The sequence below is a fragment of the Homo sapiens genome, chromosome 13 (genome assembly GCF_000001405.40).
Source record: "Homo sapiens chromosome 13, GRCh38.p14 Primary Assembly".
Classification (NCBI taxonomy): Eukaryota; Metazoa; Chordata; class Mammalia; order Primates; family Hominidae; genus Homo; species Homo sapiens.
This window is the reverse complement of record NC_000013.11, coordinates 77,737,571-77,758,189: the sequence shown is the minus strand read 5'-3', so window position 1 is coordinate 77,758,189 and position 20,619 is coordinate 77,737,571. Positions and strand designations below refer to the sequence as shown.

Genomic DNA, 20,619 nt, shown 5'->3' with positions numbered 1-20,619 from the left:
CAACATCACTAATCATTAGGGAAATGCAAATTAAAACCACAATGAGATACCACCTTACCCTGCAAGAATGGCCATAATTAAAAAGTCAAAAACAATAGATTCGGTGTGGATGTGGCAAAAAGGGAACACTTTTACACTGCTGGTGGGAGTGTAAATTAGTAGACCCACTATGGAAAACAGTATGAAGATTCCTTAAAGAACTAAAAGTAGAATTACCATTTGATCCAGCAATCCCACTACTGGGTATCTACCCAAAGGAAAAGATGTCATTATTTGAAAAAAAGACACATTCATACGCATGTTTATAGCAACAGCATTTGCAATGGCTTAGATATAGAACCAACCTAAGTGCCCATCAACCAACGGGTGGATAAAGAACTGTGGTATATATACACCAAGGAATACTACTCACCCATAAAAAGAAACAAATTAATATTTTGCAGCAACTTTGATGGAACCAGAGGCCATTATTCTAAGTGAAATAACTCAGGAGTGGAAAAGTAAATATCGTATGTTCTCTCATGTAAGTGGGAGCTTAGCTATGAGGATGTAAAGGCATAAGAATGAGATAATGGACTCTGGGGACTTGTGGGGAAGTCTGGGAGGGTGGTGAGGGATAAAAACTACATATTGGGTACAGTGTACACTGCTTCGGTAACAGGTGCACCAAAATCTCAGAAATCACCACTAAATAACTTATCCATGTAACCAAAAACCAGCTATACCCCAAAAACTATTGAAATAAGAAAAAAAAAAAGAAATGTTGATACATGTGTATAGTAGTCAAAAAGCTTTATAAAAATAAAGTCTATGTAAGATCCTCCCTTAGGTGTGTTCCCATTTAGCTTTGTGACACAGCAAAGTCCTCTTGGTTGACGAATCATCTCTAAGATTCTTTCTAATCAATTCTGTAATGCCTTAATTTGCTAGTTTTTAACCATGCAAATATTTAATATACTAGTTCAGCAACTGTAACAAGTCTACTGCACTAACACAAGATGTTAATAATAGGGGAAACTAGGAAGATACAGAGGGTGAGGGATTACATGGGAATTCTTTGTACTTCCTGTTCAATTTTTCTATAAACTGAAAACTGCTCCAAAAAAGTGTTAATTTTTTAAAAACCTTCAACACATGAATTTGGCTCAATTTCTTCTGAAGCATAATATACATAAAATACATACATCTTAAGTCTACAGCTCAGTGAATTTTCAAAGTGCATATGTTCATGTAACCACTAATCATATCAAGATAAAAAGCATCACCAGCACCTTACAATGCTCTCTCATGCCTCTTCCTAGTCAAAACTCCCCCAAAGGTAAGTGTTATTCCCACTTTTATCACAACAGACTGTTTTTCCCTATTTTGAGCTTCCTAGGAATAGACTTATTAGTATGTTAACCTTTTAATCTGGCTTCTTTCACTCGACACTTTGTCTGTGAGATTCACCTGTGTTGCTGTATTACTAAGCAGTATTCCATTGTATAAATGTGATTATTCCCCTGATGACAGAAAGCTAGGTTATTTCTAATTTGGGGTTTTATGAACCTCCTTGAACATGTTTTGGTGATCATATGCACTCATTATGTTGGGTAACTATTAGGAGATATTAATTTAGCAAAGTTGCTGGATTCAATATCAAAACACAAAAATCAATTATATTCAAAATACCAGCAAACTAGTAGAAACTGAAAGAAACCTGAGGAAATACTATTTATAAAAATACTACTTATTAAAAATCACAATACCTAGAAATTAATTTAACTATAGAAACATAAAACCTCTATATAGAAAGCTACAAAACTTCACTGATATTAAAGACCTGAGTCAATGGAGGACTATTACATATTAATGGATGCAAAGACTTAATATTGTTAAGATCTTCCAAAAATTGATCTGCAGAGTCAATGAAATGCCAACCAATTTCATTTGAAATGAAATTACAGAACAGTTTATTCAGGAATAGAGTCCTACTATCTCTCCTACATGTAACATATATAACCACCCTTGATTTAAAAAAAAACACATAAGAGAAACTAGTTAGAATTAATAGGCATAATCCTAATTTTACAACTGAGAAAACAAGACTGAGAAAGAATACTTAACTTTCCAAAGAATTTATGATTAAGAAAAGACCCAAAACCAGGTCTTTGACTACAACTGTGTTCCTCCTTCTATACTTGCAGCCTTTCCAACTCTCTATCCTACCTCTGTTCTTTCCAGAAAGCAAAATGGCCCAGAACCAGAAATTGTCATGATAGGAACTTAGAATGCATAAAGAACAGTGGCTTAGAATGCTCAGAAATGAAAGTAAATGAGAACATAATCTTAAGATTTGAAACAAAAGTTATGAGAGTCCTCCTTCTCCTACACTTTAATATTCTTCTTGGGGGCTTTCTCTCAGTATTATGCTTGACTTAGAAATGATGATTTTTATATTTTCCTCATTGCTTTTACACGCATGAATTGGAATCTACTACAAAGAGGATGTTCCCCTCTATTTATCCAATTAAGTATGAACCCATGCATATTTATTTTATTCCATCAGTTATAATCCATTACTATAATTATTTACTCTGTGGCTCAAACTGCCCCAAATTTGGCCATTAGGAGGTTCCTTCAACTTGGTTCCTGTATCCTTTTGACATTTTCCCGTCATTTTGGGGGCACTTCAATCAAGGCTGAACATTCTTTGCAGTGTACATTCTATTTTGGGCTACATACATTTTTCTGGCACTCAAATCTGCTACTAATACACATTGAGTTGGAGTCAACAAAAATTCCTAATTGTTACTATATTTGCTATTCTCCAAACTGTATTTCTCCCCTCCCACACTTACACTATTGATTTTTTTTTTTCTTTTTTCAAGACAGGGTCTCATTCTATCTATTGCCCAGGCTGGAGTGCAGTGGTGCAATCTTGGCTCACTGCAGACTCAACCTCCCAGGCTCAAGTGATCCTCCTACCTTGGCCTTCCAAGTAGCTAGGACTACTGACATGTGCCACTATGCCTGGCTAATTTTTGTATTTTTTGTAGAGACGGGGTTTCATCATATTGCCTAGGCTGGTATGTTACTGATTTTTGTAATTCAGACATAGAATTGTATATTTCTATCAGCTAAATTTCTTCATGATACATTTGGCCCATTCTCCTAACCTCCTGACATAAAATGAGTTGTTAGTCCTCTCGGTTTCTACTATTGGCAAATTTCATAGGTTGTTTATGTGTCCTTATACAAGTCATTGGTTCTAAATATTTAATAGGTCAAGCCTTAACATAGAATCCTGTGGCATTCATTCAAGCATTCACTGAGAGTTCCTTATGTTCTGGCAATACGTCAGGCACTGGGAACAGAAAATCAAATAAATGATGGCCCAAGCCCAGAGGGAGCTTACAATCTAGTAAGGAAGACAAACATATTAATAGTAAAACATGGTACATTGAATAACAGAGGTAAGCACCGAAAATCTAATCCACTCTAGTATTGTTTGGGGGGTATTTGAGAAAGTGTGTTAGGGTGATTAAGTAAGCAATGAAGACTTCCAAAGGCATGGTATTTGGACTGTGTTATAAAAGTAAATAGGAGTAAACTGAACGAAGAAGGAAAAGGAAGAATGCTAGGCAGAGAAGAACAGCACGTGGAGCTAGAATATGATAGCAGTTAAAAGCTCTGGGAGTAACCAGACCTAGGTCTGCCTCTCTGCTCTTCCAACTGTATGGCCTTAGACAAACTGTTCCTTAACCTATCAGAACTGTTGCCTCTTCCACAAAATAAGAATGGCAGTAGAAACTAATTCATAGAGTTGTTGGTAGAACTAAATAAGATAATGAATATAAACTAGTTAGCACAGTTCCTTGTACAGAGTAAATGATGTCACTTGGTTGTTAGGAACTAAAACATAAAGAAATGAAAGATCGCTGCATGTTAGGGAGATACAACCTGACACCTAAAACTAAGTTTGAGGGAGAAAAGCTACAAACCATTTTGGATGCAGACTTAAAACATCCGGTTGACGACTCTTGGCCAGTACACTCAGAACATGCTCAGCCTCCCAAGTTTGGGCATTTTTATGAATACTGGTAATATAACCTTGTGCCTTCCTCCTGGAAGTCAGTGTAAGACTTAACTGCAACAACCCATATAGACAGCATGAGTAGGAATAGGGGGATGCCGAAGCAGCACATCCCCACATAAAGTGAAGATACACAGCACTAGGCCTAATGCTAACTGTGTCACTCACTGCTGGGTAAAACATAGAAAGTAAGTAACAGAATGTGGGGTAAGCTAAATAGAGTGGACAAAAACTACTTTAGACACTCTAAAATATAACTTCATTTAGGGGGAAAAAGACAAAAGTATGCATAGGTGAAAAACAAGACAAAAGGAACGGCTAAACAGAATTAAGTGTGCTTATTCAGGTAGACAGCTAGAAGGAGGAGGATCTGCAAGGAAAACAATTTTTGTATGATGAGTGGATAAATCAATCACCATGTAGTACTTCTACTATCCTAGGATATAAAGGACTACAAATAATTTACTATTATTATACAAATAACAATTTACTATTATTAATTGATACCACAGGCACTGGTAAGTAATTTATACCACAGGCACTGGTAAGTTGAATAGTAAATATACTATTTGAATAGTAAAAATACTATTCAACTCTAATGGTGAAATAAAAAAATAAGTTACACGGCAAGGAAAAAAGTTTAGTGTTCTTTCAAGTAAATACAAAGAAATAAAACAGACATTTTCCTTACAATTAAAAATTATAAAAAATTATACAATTATACAATATATAATTATATCAAATAATTATACTCACTACAAGATTGTATTCTTGAAATTCCATTTCCAGCTCCATGCAAGCTTGAGTCAAAACTCTGACTATTTCGCACGGTGACCGGAGAACTAATGTTGCTACTAATGGCAGTTGTACTTGGCATCCGGGCTAGGTTAGGCATACTTCTTCGGAGCTTATCTGGAAAAGAATTTTACTAAGTTAAAAATGACAGATGTTATGCAACCAAAGTACTAGCTTTCAAAAGCAAATAACAAAAGTCATATTGTGCTCAATAATAAATACAAATTATTACATGTTGATGATCAAGCTTTCTAACCTATTGTACAGGAAAACACCCTTCCCAACCAGAAGGGTTCCCACCAAATAAGCATGTGTGATGGTTAATATTGAGTGCCAACTTGATTGGATTGAAGGATGTAAAGCATTGCTCCTGGGTGTGTCTGTGAGGGTGTTGCCAAAGGAGATTAACATTTGAGTCAGTGGACTGGGAGGGGTAGACCCACCCTCCATCTGGATAGGCACCATCTAATCAGCTGCCAGCATGGCTAGGATAAAAGCGCAGAAGAATGCAGAAGGAGCAGACTTCACCTTTCTCCTGTGCTGGATGCTTCCTACCCTCGAGCATCAGACTCCAAGTTCTTCAGCTTGTGGACTCTTGGACTTACATCAGTGGTTTGCCAGGATCTCTCAGGCCTTTGGCCACAGACTGAAGGCTGCACTGGCGGCTTCCCTACTTTTGAGGATTTGGGACTCCGACTGTCTTCCTTGCTCCTCAGCTTGCAGACAGCCTATCATGGGACCTCACCTTGTGATCGTGTGAGTCAATACTCCTTAATCAATGCCCCTTCATATATACATTTATCCTGTTAGTTCTGTCCCTCTAGAGAACCCTAACTAATACAATGTGTTAAAGGAGAACGAAACTTCTATAAAAAGACTTAGGGACTAGCTAAGCAGTTAGCTATCTGTTCCTATTCAATAAGTGGCTAAAACTATATTTAAAAAGTTAGAAAATAATCTTATAGCCATTAAATTTACCAAAACAACCCTAGAAATTAAGTTACATGCTTCTTAAAAAAAAAAAAAAAAAAGAACCCTAGAAGAATCAAAACCAACATTTACTGAATCTTTTGCTACCATATCAAAATGGAACAAATTAATAAAATTCAAACTTCAGATGTCTTGAAATATCCACTCATCACATTAACATGACCACATTAATCTCTGGAAAGTTTTAACTTTCATGAGTACGCCACCAAATGTTTGCAGATAAAAAAGACCAAGAGAATGCTTCAATTTTTTTGCCTTGCTAAGTTCATCTTCTGCCACCAAGAGGCAGCAGAGAGTCACATACAGATCTCAATGTTGAGATGTGTGAAATAACACATGTGAAATAAGCCAGCCACAAGACCACAACTCTATGAGACACTTTTTCCTTGATCAATACACATCCCCCAAAAACTAAAGTACCTATGTCAGGTCATTTAAACTGAAAAAAAAAGCATATATACGAGTACTAAGCCATAACTAATTCAAGGACAAAACTAATTCAAGTACTCGATTCCACTCTTCCTAGAGCACAGCATGCGTCACCCACTTGCTGAAATCCCTCCAACTCCTCAATTCCTCCCCTGCTCCCTCTTCTGAAAGGCCAAGCTCCTGAGCACAGCCCAGATGAGGGCTTCAAGGCCCAGGCTCTTTATACTTCTCCAGCCTGGCCTCTCAGCCTGCTCCCCGACCACAGGGGTGAACTCTCTCATACCTGTGAGCAGGCTGGTCCCTCCATGTGGACACCCAACCTCACTTTGGAGAAGGAACAAATGAACAAGGGAACAAACATCTATTGTGTTTACACTAAATACCAGACACTCTGTGAGCTGTTGGGGATACCACAGTGTATTAGGCAGATACAGTCCAGAGTCTCATTGAGTTTATAGTCAAGATTTATGGTCTAGGTTTATAGTCTAGACCAGTGCTTCTCAATCCTTCCCCACCCATTGTTGATCCTAAAGAGAAAATCTAAAATAAATTTAATTAAACTTAAAATTAAATTTTTTCCCAAATAAAATAAATATTAAAGATTAACATTTTGATAGGGGTAAACCATGGAAGATCATAAATCATTGTAATATCTAAAATTTTTTTCACCCCTCCAACTTACAAGATATTTTTATCTTTATTGATATATACCGCAAAACACTAAAGTGCACATATCAGAGCATTCAATCTTGTGGTCATTTTCTTTCAAGCAAAACCAGAAAATAATGATATACTTGAATGCTAATCCAAAAGGCATTCAAGTCAAAATCAAACTCAGCTCTTCTTATTCCCCTTTCATACACTACTCCTTTGACATTACTAACACCTATTAAATGTTGCCATGTCCAGCAATTTTTGCTCCCTTGGGGTGGAAAAGGCAGAAGATTAAACAAGCACAATAAGTATACTTAGATAATATGTATAATAAGAGAGCATAAAAAATTGTAGAGAGTGCTATGGTAGAAAGCACAAAAGAATATTTTACTCATGTGGGTCTTACTAATACTTTAAGAATTGGCACAATTATCCCCACCATAGAGAAGCTTTTCTATGGACTTCCCAGCTGGAAGTATCTACCTCTCACACATTACTTTCTGTGTGTAGTTCTAGAGTAAGGATGCTCAAATATTGCCACTGACTGTTAGATTCCTTGGCAATTTTCCTCATTATCTTCTTGATGCCTATTTTTAACAATCATACGTCTCGTATTCCCAAATTCCTATTAAAGTTCCCAGCCTCACAGAGCAGGTACTTTATATATCAGCAAATATTATGTGTATGATTTGGCAGACAGTGTGTAGTAAGAAGGGAGGAATTAGAAGGATTCATCTCTACATAATCTTAGTGGCCATATCTAGATCTTTTGACTATTACAAAAACTGGTGTAAAAAAGACAGCCTCTATCAGTACTAGACTATTTTCACTATACATATTTCCAATACATATATTTTTAAGCAGCAGGGAGGCACAGGAACATAATTATATGCTATTGAGAAAATTAATTGAGCTTCTATATTTCTTTTTAAAATCTCTCTCCAACTATTTACTATAATAGTTTTCATACATATAGAAATGTTAAAAAATAGTATCATAAACACCTGTTTTTCCACCTGGCTATACTGGTTGTTTCCATTTTGCCATATTTAATTCATCTCCACATGTACTTTTGTTTGCTTTGCTAAACAAGATAAAACTTCAGACATCTTGACACTTTAAATGCATATTGATCTCCTGAGAAAATTCTATGGAATCACAATATTGTAATCACATGTAAACAAATTAACAATATCATATGATAATCTGCATACAAAATTTTTCAGACATCCCAAGAATATCTTTCACAAGCTTTTTCCTCTAAACCACGATCCAATCAAGGTCCATACGTTACATTTGGCTATGCCTCTAATCTGTGTTAGTCTTTAAAACCAATCTTTACTCATATTTAAGCAACAAGTCAGTTTCACAAAGCTTTAATCCTGAAATATGCTCTTAAAAATAAGGTCTTCCAAGTGTAAATATTTAGGACACTATTCCCCTTGGAACAAAGCTGTGATCTCCAACTTGTGTCAGACCATCTGGAAATGAGGTACATTTCCTGTCAAACAATGTGGAACGTTTTAATAACCACATATTCTTTAAAGTTCAGGGAACCAAAAGTAATGTTCTAGTTCTATCTTCACAAGAAATCAGCAGTTTAATCTTCAAGGGCTGAGATGCAGCAGGAAACTGGAAGAATAGACCAAGTAAAGAATTCAAATGAGCTTGCTCACATTAAAGAGGCAGCAAGACTCATCACTCTATGAACAAAGACTCAGGAATCTTTAGGACTAAAGGAGACACTCATTGTCCACCAAACAGCTAGATCTAGGCATCCAGGCAACACAGGCTCCAGGGGAGGTCCTCATGATAATAAGGACTACATCATGCCTCCAGTAACCCCTGCCATACCGTAGAATTATAAAAAAGTTGGTAAAGATTCTACAAGTTGAGTCATTTTGATATTTAGCAAGTTATTCCAGTTATGCTTCTTTTAATTCTATGAATCTCAGAAATATCCCAGAAAGTTTTATGAACCATCTCTTTAAATCTAGGCAGTGTAGGAACTACAAAAGCAGTAAATATTAATATACATTTCTAGTTTATTCTCAATTATTTTAAAATGAATCAACAGTTTACAATTATTTTCTATCTATATTATTTTGATAATTTAGAAAAATATTTAATAGATTAGCTTCAAAGTTACCATTCTTATTTCAGTTTTTTGCTCAATATTCTATAGTAACAAATGCAGGCTAGGACATCTGAATCATATGTTAATAAAAGTTTAAAAACAAAAGGGGAGAAGACAACCTTTATTTAGCACATCCACTCCAGGCTACATGCAATGTAACATTCATTATTTCATTTATTCCTTATAATATATTTAGGTGGAGAAAATGTGTACCAGATGGTTTGGTGTGAAATTATACCTAAGTTTCCTAAGAGACAGATATCATCTTGTCCACATTTTAGTTAGGGAAACCGAACCTTAGACAGTTGAGAAACACAGGATCTACTGGACTTCAGAGCCTCTGCTCTCAACCATTAAGCTAATTAGTCAGAAGTCATATCCAGAAGATTGCCTTTGTATTCCATTTTTCTTGTATTGTGAAAACTAGACATTTTAGGCAAAATAAAACTACCATAAAGGGACCTAAACTGTGATATGTCTCCACTTTCCTGTGAAGAGTATCCCAGCACAGGATTCACAGAAACCTAATCCTTTTCAAACGGTGTTTGATGGAAGTGAATACCACTTTTCTGAGGTGCAACAAACAGCTAAGCGGAGAAAAATGATCCCATTGACAATATCAATCAAGATGCAGAGCTAGCATCTGCTTGGCAACTTGACTACGATGTTCTAAAACACTTTAAGTAAAAAAAAAAAAAAAAAAAAAAAAAAGCTTTAGAGAAATAACTCTAGGTGCCCTCTCAATTTTAATAAGATGTTATGACTTCCACTAAGCACATGGAATACATTGTCTTTCTGATCTATGAGCTTTAATATGTTAGTCATGATGACATTTTTTAGCCACCACTCCTTTAAACTTGAAATCTCAAGGTAGTAAGAGAAATTACAAATACAAAATTTTAAATATTTCCAAATGATCTCTTAATTAGCATCAGCATGAATGATACCAGTATAAAGGAAGAAAGGGTAAAAACTAAATACAGGGTTATGGCTGATCACTAATACAAAATTTATATTTGGCCTATAAATATTTTTAAAGACCATTTGATCACATCTGGACCCAGCTTTGAGAAATAGTGCTATATAATAATTAAGAACTGTAATTGTATAATTATAAATTTTTTTATTGGTTTGTTTCTCCATAATATATAGAATTTATGTGTGAGGGTTCAGGTGATCATTAGTACAAAAACACAACAGGCTTAGAATATTACATGATTGCTTCTCCCATAGTTCTTAGAAGTCAGAGTCCAACTTCTGCAAGTGTGGAAGAAAGATAAATGATGAAGAGATAGAATAAACGAATGACACAGACAGCAACCCACCATGTTGACAAGACAGATCAATTTCCCATTACCCTGTCAAATGCTAATGGAAAGCAACCTCCATGTTCCTGCTGCTACACAGATCTTAATTCTAGATGTCAGGAGATCAGAGGGAAAGACACATCCCAAACTTGCCTAGATCTGGCTGTGTAAGAGCAGCATCCTCTGCAAGCATCATCATTCATGCTTACAACCTCACTCTGTGCTAGGAACAGACAGTAAGAGACTGAAGGCTGTGGACAAGGTAAGGAATGACAACTCACAGACTTTGCCTCCATGGGCTTGACCACAAACTTCTCAGCTTGTACAACCCTGCCTCTGCCACAGGCACCAGCAACAATGCAGAGATGCCGCACATTTATAACTCATTCCGAGCCAGCTATGTCATGAAGGTTTTCTTGAGGCTGTGCGTTTATAAATCTGGGACACGTAATCAGAAGCCAGTCAATTAGAGACGCAAATTTAGACCAAACTGAGAAGGTCTGGAGGATGATTTTTAATCTGAGAAACATTGACCAATTATCTATATTTCTCTTAAAACCATTTCTTGGCCGGGTATGGTGGCTGTCATCCCAGCACTTTGGGAGGCTAAGGCGGGCAGATTACCTGAGGTTAGTGGTTCAAGACCAGCCTGGTCAACAGGGTGAAACCCCATCTCTACTAAAAATAAAAAATAAAAAATAAAAAATAAATTAGCCAGGCATAATGACACATGCCTGTACCCCGGCTACTTGGAAGGCTGAGGCAGGAGAATCGTTTGAACCTAGGAGGTGGAGGTTGCAGTGAGCTGAGATCGTGCCACTGCACTCCAACCTAGGAGACAGAGACAGATTCTGTCTCAAAAACAAAAACAAAAACACAAAAACCATTTCTTGACCACATATAAAAAAATTAAAGCATATCAAATACCAAAAAAGCATACAACCTACCTCCATTGGTCCTATTTGGTTGCTGATCTGGAGTTTGGGCTTGAGGTGAATAATACTGTTGCTGCTGGTAATTATTTGAAGGAAAATACTGGGAACTGGGGCTCCTCCTACACTCCCGAATGCTGGAGAAAGTCTGTGAATGGGGAATTCCTCTTTGGAAAGGGGAACATCTTGGAAGACGAGGCTGAGGTGGTGGCAAATGATCAAATTCCTCTTCATCCTCCAGACTGTATTGGTCATATTCTTGATCACTACATGTCCCTTTTTTTCCTGAACTCAATGACACACTGGAACTATGTCTTGATACAGATGCTGAAGTAGAAGCATAATCTTGCCTGAGACCTATAAAATAACAAATAGTACTCTAATGTATTTTGATCTAGCTAACATTTAGTTATAATTAACCAAGTATTAGATGAAAAATTGTGCCAAATAAATTACTCACAGAGACTTATTATCTTGTTCTCAAGTTTACTAAATTGACAAGTTTACCAAGACAATAATCACATTTACCTATGAAACAGATATCTAATATTGGACAATTCTGTTTTGCAAAAAGATTGCCCCAATTCCAGTGAGGATTATATATACCTGCCACAGCTCATTCGTTAATATCTATCAATTTCCCCTTTTCAAATCAAGAGATATTTTAGAAGGGGAACTTAGGAAGAAATATTCATCTCATTATGAATAGTTTGCTATGAGTTAAAACAACTAAAATCTTCAAATCTCTGCCCAAGTAGGAAGTCATTCTGCTCCCCACCCCCAACTTTTAAAGTCAAAGGGAAAGTTTAAAAGCCGAGGTACAAATATTTTCCCACAAGGTCATCTCTCTATTGTTCTTTTATGTTACTAATATTATCTCTTTCAAAGCACACTGACACCTCAATACTTCTAATAGTTTTAGGTCATCCTATAAGGTAATCATCTAAAAATAGTCAAACTACAAAGTTCTCATTATTTAACCCATTGCCAGTACTACAATTTTTAAAAAAAGTGGTCTATCCCTGACTACTTAACTTCTGAAACTGACATACAATCTTTTAGCCATATATATTTTTAGAAAGAGTATTTAAATTTGCTTTTACTAAATAATTATATAAAATAACCACTTTTCCCCTTAAAAATGTATCTATTAAATCCTGCATAAGCATTACCATGTTTCTCATAGAAGCCTTGACTAATTCTGAAAACAGGAAATTATTATGCTTAAATGATACTTGATTATTTCTACTTATGTTGGTGGAAAAGATAACTCCAAAACAAACACTCCAGTTCTGTGCCTTTTGATACCATTAATGCCCTTCAACTAGTTCACTCCCAGATAATTTTTTGTAACTTTATCGCAGAACCAGTGAAAAACTATCCTATTTCTACTTATCTACTCTTTCACAATTATTTACCTGGAGAAGTATGTCAATGCATTTTAACTGAAATTTTAAGATAACTGTAGACTCACATGCAGTGCTTAAAAAAAAACAAAACTGTACACTTTGCCCAGTTTCCCCCAGTGGTAACATTGTGCAAAATTATAATAATATGACAGCCAGGGTATTGGCAGTGATATAATCCACTCATTTTATTCAGATTATCGCAGGTGTGTGGGGGTGTGTGTGTGTCTGTGTCAGAAAGAGATAGAGAGAGTATTAAGCTGTATGCAATTTCATTACCTACAGGTTCAAAGATCCACCAATGAATAGTACCAACACTGCAAAAATCCTGTGTTGCCCTTTTATAACTACATCCAGCTTCGAGACCCTCTTGAGACCCTAAGCCCTATACCTAACTCCACCAACCACTAGTCTGTCCTCTGTTCCTAACATTTTGTCATCTCAAAATGTTATATGTGTGGAATTATACAGTATGCACTCTCTTATGATCAAATTTTTTATTCACCATGATTCCCTGGAGCTTCAAGCAAGATGTTGTGTATATCAGTAGTTTGTTCCTCTTTATTGATGAGTTATACTCCATGGTATAGATGTAACATGATTGGTTTAATCATTTACCCACTGAAGGCCTTCTAAGCTAATTCCAGTTTTGGGCTATAAAGGTGCTCAGAACATTCACGTGCAAGTTTTTGTGTAAACACGAATTTCCACTATTCTGGGATAAATATCCAAGAGTGCAGTTTGCTGGGCCACATGGAAGTTGCACCTTTAGTTTTTTAGGAAACTGTCCATCTGTTTCCACAGTGACAATACCAGCAATGTCCATGTATCAATGTGTTTTCATCAGACTAAGTCCTACCACCTCATGATAGTGTGAGAAGCATATAACTGGCTCCACCTAAAAAGTAGGACAGTATGAGAGAAAGAATCTAATTATTTGCCCATTACCTGGAGAGAAATGCCTGAACCTCCCCCTCTGCCTGTATATTCCAAGTGGAAGCCTCATTTTGCTAGTTTAGAAAGAACACATACTTTCTTCTTGCAGACGAGCCATGATCTGAACATCAGTGAGGTCCTGTAATTTATATCCCATGGAGATAGAATCATCCTCCAATTCTGAAGTACTCAGCTCACTGTCGATAGATGACTGGGGACTGAGTGGGGAGCCCCTGGAAGTGTAACCTGAAACACAAAGGAAAAGTGTGTTCTTCCATCTGCAGGACTGATATCTATACATGCTTCACAATTCATATATAAACAGTCAGCAATTTGTCTCATGTTTTCATGTTACAAAAATCACCAACATGTCACCATTTAATGGTCAACGTGCACATCATGTGTACACAATTCATATATACAAAACCACTTGTTCATTGTTTTCAAATTGAATTTTCACAATTTAAAAAGTCACCATGTACTATATACTTAAATTGTTAAGAGGGTAGATTTCACATTATATTTTTTATCACAATAAAAAATTCACTACTGCTAAAATCTACATCCTATTAGATATGTATATATCTAAAGGCATGATATTATAAGAATATATATTCATGTATACTTTAATAATAAGACACACTTGTCTGACAGTAACTGATAATATATTTTTAAATTAAATTTTAATCTGGTCCATTTCTTAATGAGTACAAACAGCAGTGCTACAAATGGGTAAGAATATCACATCTAAAAGGCACACATACATATGCAGAAATATATACAACACCCACATAATATAGACCAGAGAGTAGTCACGGGAGACTTATAGCCACCCATGAGGATAAAAAAATCAATGGCTTCAGATAAAAGAACCAAAGAACAAATAGAAGAAGGCTATAGGAATGGAATCATACCAATGCTGAGAAAAATAAGAAAATGGTGAGATCCTCATCTCATAAAAAGCCACTATGACTATTTTCTTCTACACAGCCTTAGCTAAATTTAAAAGCTACCAGAAAAAAATTAAAAAAAATACAGACTTACAATCTTGAATAATAAAAACTACCTTAATTGTGTTTGACATTTAATTTTAAAAGCACATAAGCATTTGGAAATACAGAACTGCATGCATATACTTTTGCTAAAGAGGGAAGACTGTCTGCTACATAAAATTGAGAGCAGTAGATCAATGGTGTTAGAGTACAAATTAGTGCTAGGCCTTTTGTACCCAAAGTAAGTGTGCAGCACAAACTCTCCACTCTTAAGATTATTCTCAAGCTTTTCAAATGAAAGATGAATATTTAAGCCGTGTTTAGTAACTGAATTACAAAGCAAGCAGCTAGTCAAGAAGTTAAAATATTACCTGTTTTTTCAGGTGTTAGTATTGCTTTATTTGAGGTTTTAGAGAAGCTGGGAGTATTAATGCCATTGCTATAAGGGCTGAGTCTTGCAACAGGACTATAAGGAAAAGCCAGTGAGGCAGTTGAAGAGAAGAGACTCCGCCATCGGCTAGCTGTCACAGAAGCAGAAAATAGCAGCAGTTAGCTATATGGAAGCATATGTTGACTTGTCAGAAGGAGAAAGGGAAGAGAATAAAAAAAAAAAAAAAGACAAAGCAACTTTTCATAGGACTATCTTAACTGACTTCCACTTATCTAAATAAAAAATATATACAAAATAAACAATTTGTGAATTAGGGTCCTATTTATACATCCATTTTTAAAAAGTAAATCAATCTTACTTTGATTAAAGCCAACATGCCTGTATAATAATGAAAATTTATTTTGAGTTTCTACGTTAGAAATGTTTTCAATTTTCTATTTCCACATAAGGATTTAGTGTTTTGCAATATAAAAAAGGATTAGTGTCAAAAGAAAAACTCAAGTTTATAATCTTCCTAATCTTTAGGAATTAAGGGAAATGTTCTTAATATTAACTATATGTAATTCTATATTTTTTCTACTCAGTTAATATCAGAAAATGTTGATAAAAAACATTTTATGTAAATTCAGTATTGGATTATGGGAGGACTTAGAATGACTATTGTGTTTCCAAATGGCCTTGAGACCAAAACAAGGTTTAAAGGAAAAACAGTGTACAGAGTAACAGAGGGGTGTCTATACCAGAGCTTAACAATGACTATCCGGTACAGAGACTATTGGTGATCACTCGGATTTTTTCTTTAAAAAAAACTTCCAAATTATCTGCATTAAACATACATATTATTTATATAACTAGCTTTTCAAGGTAGGAATATACATGTTATTACTTTAATATTATTTTTTAAATTAATATAATGAACAAAAAGGAATTACACCAGCCATGGGCAGATGATCTCATTCTTACATTACCTCACTTGTCTAATTAATGTACTTCTCCCCTCCAAAATTACCACCCCTTGTATCTCCATGTTCTTGGGGTCACACACACACACACACACAAATCCCAAATCATAAAAGCTTAAGTCACACCAAACATGATTTACTCTCCTCTCATGAGATACAAATCAATGCGCTAAGCAAAATTCACTTTTCTGAAAAGTAATCATTTAGACATGTACTAAGCAGAAGGAATAATATAAAAAATATAAACAAGGCTAAACTTCAAGAAATAACTTGGTTTGTATTCACTGGGAATTTGACAAAACTTGAAAAACCAAGTATTAAAAGGACTGCTTTGAAATGCATGCCCCCAGACCACTTTTAATGAGCAATGCTAATGAGCAATCAGACAGCTGAAAAGTGCTTTAAAATGGGCAGTGGGATGGAGAGAAAAAAAAAAAACTGTGGGATGTGGACAGTCAAGAAAATAATCAGCTCCAAACTGGGATTCTTCAGATCCTTGCAAAACACCAAGTTTACTTAAAAAAAAAAAAAAAAAAATTCCTTTTACTTCAGAATCATTACGTACCAACACATTCTAACAATTACATTAAAAATATCTTTTCCTTAAGTATGTGGAAGAACTAGGCAAGGAAACCACATTCGCAATGACAACACTTTCAGAATCCACACATTTCATGAAACTGTGAAGCCTGGTTGCCAATTGACACCAGTCGTATATGTCACTTATCCAACCCGTAACTTACAGTGGTTAAGCAGCTTTTCCCAATCGGAGCCAGAACACAGACATGCACTTCCAGTTCCTTCTCTTCTATGTAGGTCAACTTGACTCCAGAATACACTACAAACTAGGGGTTAATAATGCAACACACACTAGGTAGCTGTTCTCACATGTTCAATCTCTATTATTCAAAGTTTCTCATTAAAAATTCTATATTTTAAAAGACCAATAGTTCTTTGTGACTGCTATCTTGCCTAACAGATGATGTTATTTTATACCAGTCTGATCACTTGCCAGGCAAATTACAGTAACTGCGTGTTCTCACCCACAGATGCGGGCGGCAGCACATCACAAGTAAGCAGCATTCATCACTCTGCACAATAACCACTGTGACCCAGCCTCCCTGCACAATTGACACAGTTATTGTGGCTATGACAGCAAGATCCCAACTAGGAACACAATTAGCGTCTATTGCAAGAAAGAATGCTCTACATTGTTGTTTAGCATTGAAGCTTTTCAGAAAGGGGAGGAAAATTATTGTAAAGGCAGGCTAACAAAACAATAATGCTCCACTAGTGCCCAAGGTTACAGTGGAGGAGGAGGAGGACAGGAGTGGAAGCTATCACATCCTAGTTGTTCTTCAGTACATAGCTAAAGAATTGTAACAGGAAGCACTTTTATAAAGAATAAAACAAACAAAAAGAACTTGTAAAAAAGAGCAATTTTATCTTTTTCAACCAATTATCTCAGTGGATTTTTGGTATATAAAATGATGTGAAATGATTCAAGAGGCTCAGTGATGACCGAAATAGCTCTAAAGAAAGGAGTGAGGCAATTTTGCCAAAAGAGAAAAAATGGGTGATCCATTTTTGAACAACAGTTAAATTTCCCTATACTCCTACTCCAGAGTTCTATTTATAAAAAAAGGGGGGGGGGGCGGTTCGCAAACTTGGAAGTGGCATAGACTATGCATTTTTTCATTTTATTCCAATCCCTAGAATAGCATCGAACTGGCCCCAAACAGGACTACACACTGAATCAATGTACGATACTTGGCACAGTTTTCTTTCCCAAATGCCTTAAGCTAAACTGCCTCCCAGGACACTTCTTTCTGCATAATCTCTGTAGTTCTACCGCAACTTCCTTAACCACTCACCACCTCTCACCAGATTACTGCAACCTGCTCTTCAACAAACTTCCAGCCACCAACACTGCCCTGAGCAAACCTGTTCTGAATGTCATGTATTTTAACTGTGTTACTCTCATCAATTAAAGTACCGCAGGGGCTTTTCATCAAATGCAAGACCTTAAAGGTACTTCAGCTCATTTCACTACCACCCTTACAGACTGTCATTTATCTCATGCCCACCTCTACAGTGTCTCTGAAGCTACCCTAAGGATGCACCCTTATTGGTTAAACTTTATACTTCACCTCCCTTGTCTGACAATCATCTTCTACTGAATGAATGTGATAAAGTACTAAATTGTAGACTGATACCTCATTTTTTTTCAAAAATATAAGTTGAGGGTGACTAACGGTCTCTTATTTTTTGTACATTTTCAAAGTTGCTTGACTGAAAAGATAAGTTATAACACATCTGTGTAGTTATTTTTGTATACCATTAAGCAAAGTATGACCAAAAAAACTAGATTCGATAAATGCTCCCGTGATAAAATCAAGAAAATCATAAAAAGGCAGACGACAGAATGGGTTTAAGGAACAACCTAAGTTTCTTTAATTTGTCACACTGAAAATTATTCTGTGACCAACAAAAAGTTCCCAGAAACAATGACATTCCTACCATTGCTTGATCATCTTTGCTTAGACTCAAAGTATTCAAATTGTTGTTAAATAGACATGTCTCTACACATAATCAAAATCAAATTTAAGAAAGCAATTACTTAATTCACATAAAAGAAAAAACTGATTTAATATCTTAGAAGACTCAAAAGGTCGGTAGTGCATTAAACTAAAGAGTTCAAAAATAAAGCAACACTATAACATATTCTGGCAACAATCCTTTTCATTCTTCTCACTACAGTCATTTCAGTACCTAATATAAGACTTGGAACACAGTATGCACTCAATAAATGCTAAATGTGGTCAAAATTTTGGCAAGTTGACTAATATTTCCTTATCTCAAACCATTCTACCACTCCTATCCTGACATATAAATTACTTTGCCCAATTTTTTAAACTTAAGTATAATTCTGTTAACTCTGAAGACACATAATAGTCTAATTAGATGTTTCAAACCAGCTAAAATCTCGGTGAAAAATATACCTGGAGAAGCACTTCATTAATACTTTCTAGTAACTACTAAGTTGCTGAATTTTATATCAATCTTCCGGTTTCCAACTAAATGATGTTATATTACTAAGGCCTAGGATCTGTGTGACTGGGGTAACAAACATGGAAAAGTGGTTAAACAGGTGACACTAAGATGAGTTAGTTCCTACAGCACTGCATCGCACAGTTAAAAGGAAGGATTATGCCAAGCACACTAACCGGTGGAAAACCATGCAAGAAGGCAACAAAGCTGCCACCGAATTCTGGAAATGCTGCCATTTCCTGCAATCCAAGAAAGAGTTACAAAACGGCTGCAATTCTGTTTGGGCCGTTTGGTAGCATTTCGATACATTCTACTGTACACGGCATCTGGCTTGGTTTCAGTTAGGTGAGGAAGCCCTGGAGGTCAGGACCCTCACTCTTTCTAGTGAGTTCTAACAGGAGAGCCACATTTCTCATCAGGCAGAAGTTATTCTAGAAAACAAGCCCTCCCTGTGTCCATATCTTCTCACTGTTCAGCTCCCACTTATAAGTGAGAACATGCAGTGTTTGGTTTTCTGTTCTGCGTTAGTTTGCTGAGGATAATGGCTTCTAGCTCCATCCATGGTAGGAGGAGGGACAGCATTAGGAAAAATACTTAATGCATGCTGGGCTTAATAGCTAGGCTTAATACCTAGCAAACCCAATAAAAACTCATTAGCAGCAAACTTTAGGTCTGTTTCACTAAAATTCACAGCCTATTTTCTAAATAAGTCATGGTTTTGTATCCATGCTCATGGCTGTCTTCCCAGCTAGCCAAATTTATATTCTCCCTCATTCCCTAACCCAGGTTCTGCCTTGTGGAACTGGCCAACTTTTTATTTAAATCTTCATAAGTAATGCCGTGTACCTGAGAAAAAAATATATATATATGTATATGTATATATGTGTATATATATGTATATGTATATATGTATGTGTATATGTGTGTGTGTGTGTGGGTGTGTGTGTAGTGCTCCAGAATGATTCAGATGCCCAACGTTTACAACATCTAGAGTCATTCCTTTAATCAACATTTGGCAACAGATACTAAAAAACTTCAAAGGTCAGTCTCCAAGCAGTTACCTAAATATCTTCCACAGATACACACAGCATGTGGCATTTCCCTGCTCCACAGTCATTCCGAGAAGTCTGCCTGGCCCCTATACTCCCACCCACTTTTAAAAATTCATTTCTCTATTCATTTGAATAGGCACTAACTATTGTGGCTATAGCATATCAGATGCCCCAGGTGCTGACATGAATAAGATATGGTGACTGTTCTCCTCTCCTTCCCACTCCAGTTTCTAAAGACCAGCTACTACAGAAGACAGGCAAGTAAGGTGGAATATGATGTCATATTGTAAGTGCAGTAAAAGCACCATAAGGAGTACACTCAGAGCAAAGTAAAAGCAATGATTAACTTTCTGGGGGAATCTAAACACTTCAGGAGACATTAAGTTTAATGTGGCCCTTGAAGGTTGAGGAGCTTATCTCACAGGATATGATACCATTCTAAATAGAAGTAATGCATATGAAACCAAGAACACATGAAAGAGCAGTGTACAATCAGGGAATGGCAAACGT

The 20,619-nt window shown here is 36.1% G+C and overlaps 1 protein-coding gene across 9 annotated transcripts in view; it reads right to left on the bottom strand.

The window, feature by feature from the left end:
* SLAIN1 (SLAIN motif family member 1) overlaps nucleotides 1-20,619 on the bottom strand; it is a 66,543-nt gene that overhangs the window by 6,040 nt on the left and 39,884 nt on the right. For 2 of the 9 annotated variants that reach the window (NM_001411026.1, NM_001366665.1), the window contains exons 3-6: nucleotides 15,025-15,174; nucleotides 13,758-13,907; nucleotides 11,335-11,676; nucleotides 4,832-4,987 (exon numbers count right to left, since the gene is read on the bottom strand). In NM_001411026.1, coding sequence (NP_001397955.1) covers nucleotides 4,832-4,987; nucleotides 11,335-11,676; nucleotides 13,758-13,907; nucleotides 15,025-15,174 — 798 coding nt within the window. Of the gene's footprint in view, nucleotides 1-4,831; nucleotides 4,988-11,334; nucleotides 11,677-13,673; nucleotides 13,908-15,024; nucleotides 15,175-16,749; nucleotides 16,972-20,619 lie in introns of those variants that run through there. The other 7 variants (NM_001242868.2, NM_001040153.4, NM_001366666.1 and 4 more) reach the window with 6 other exon arrangements.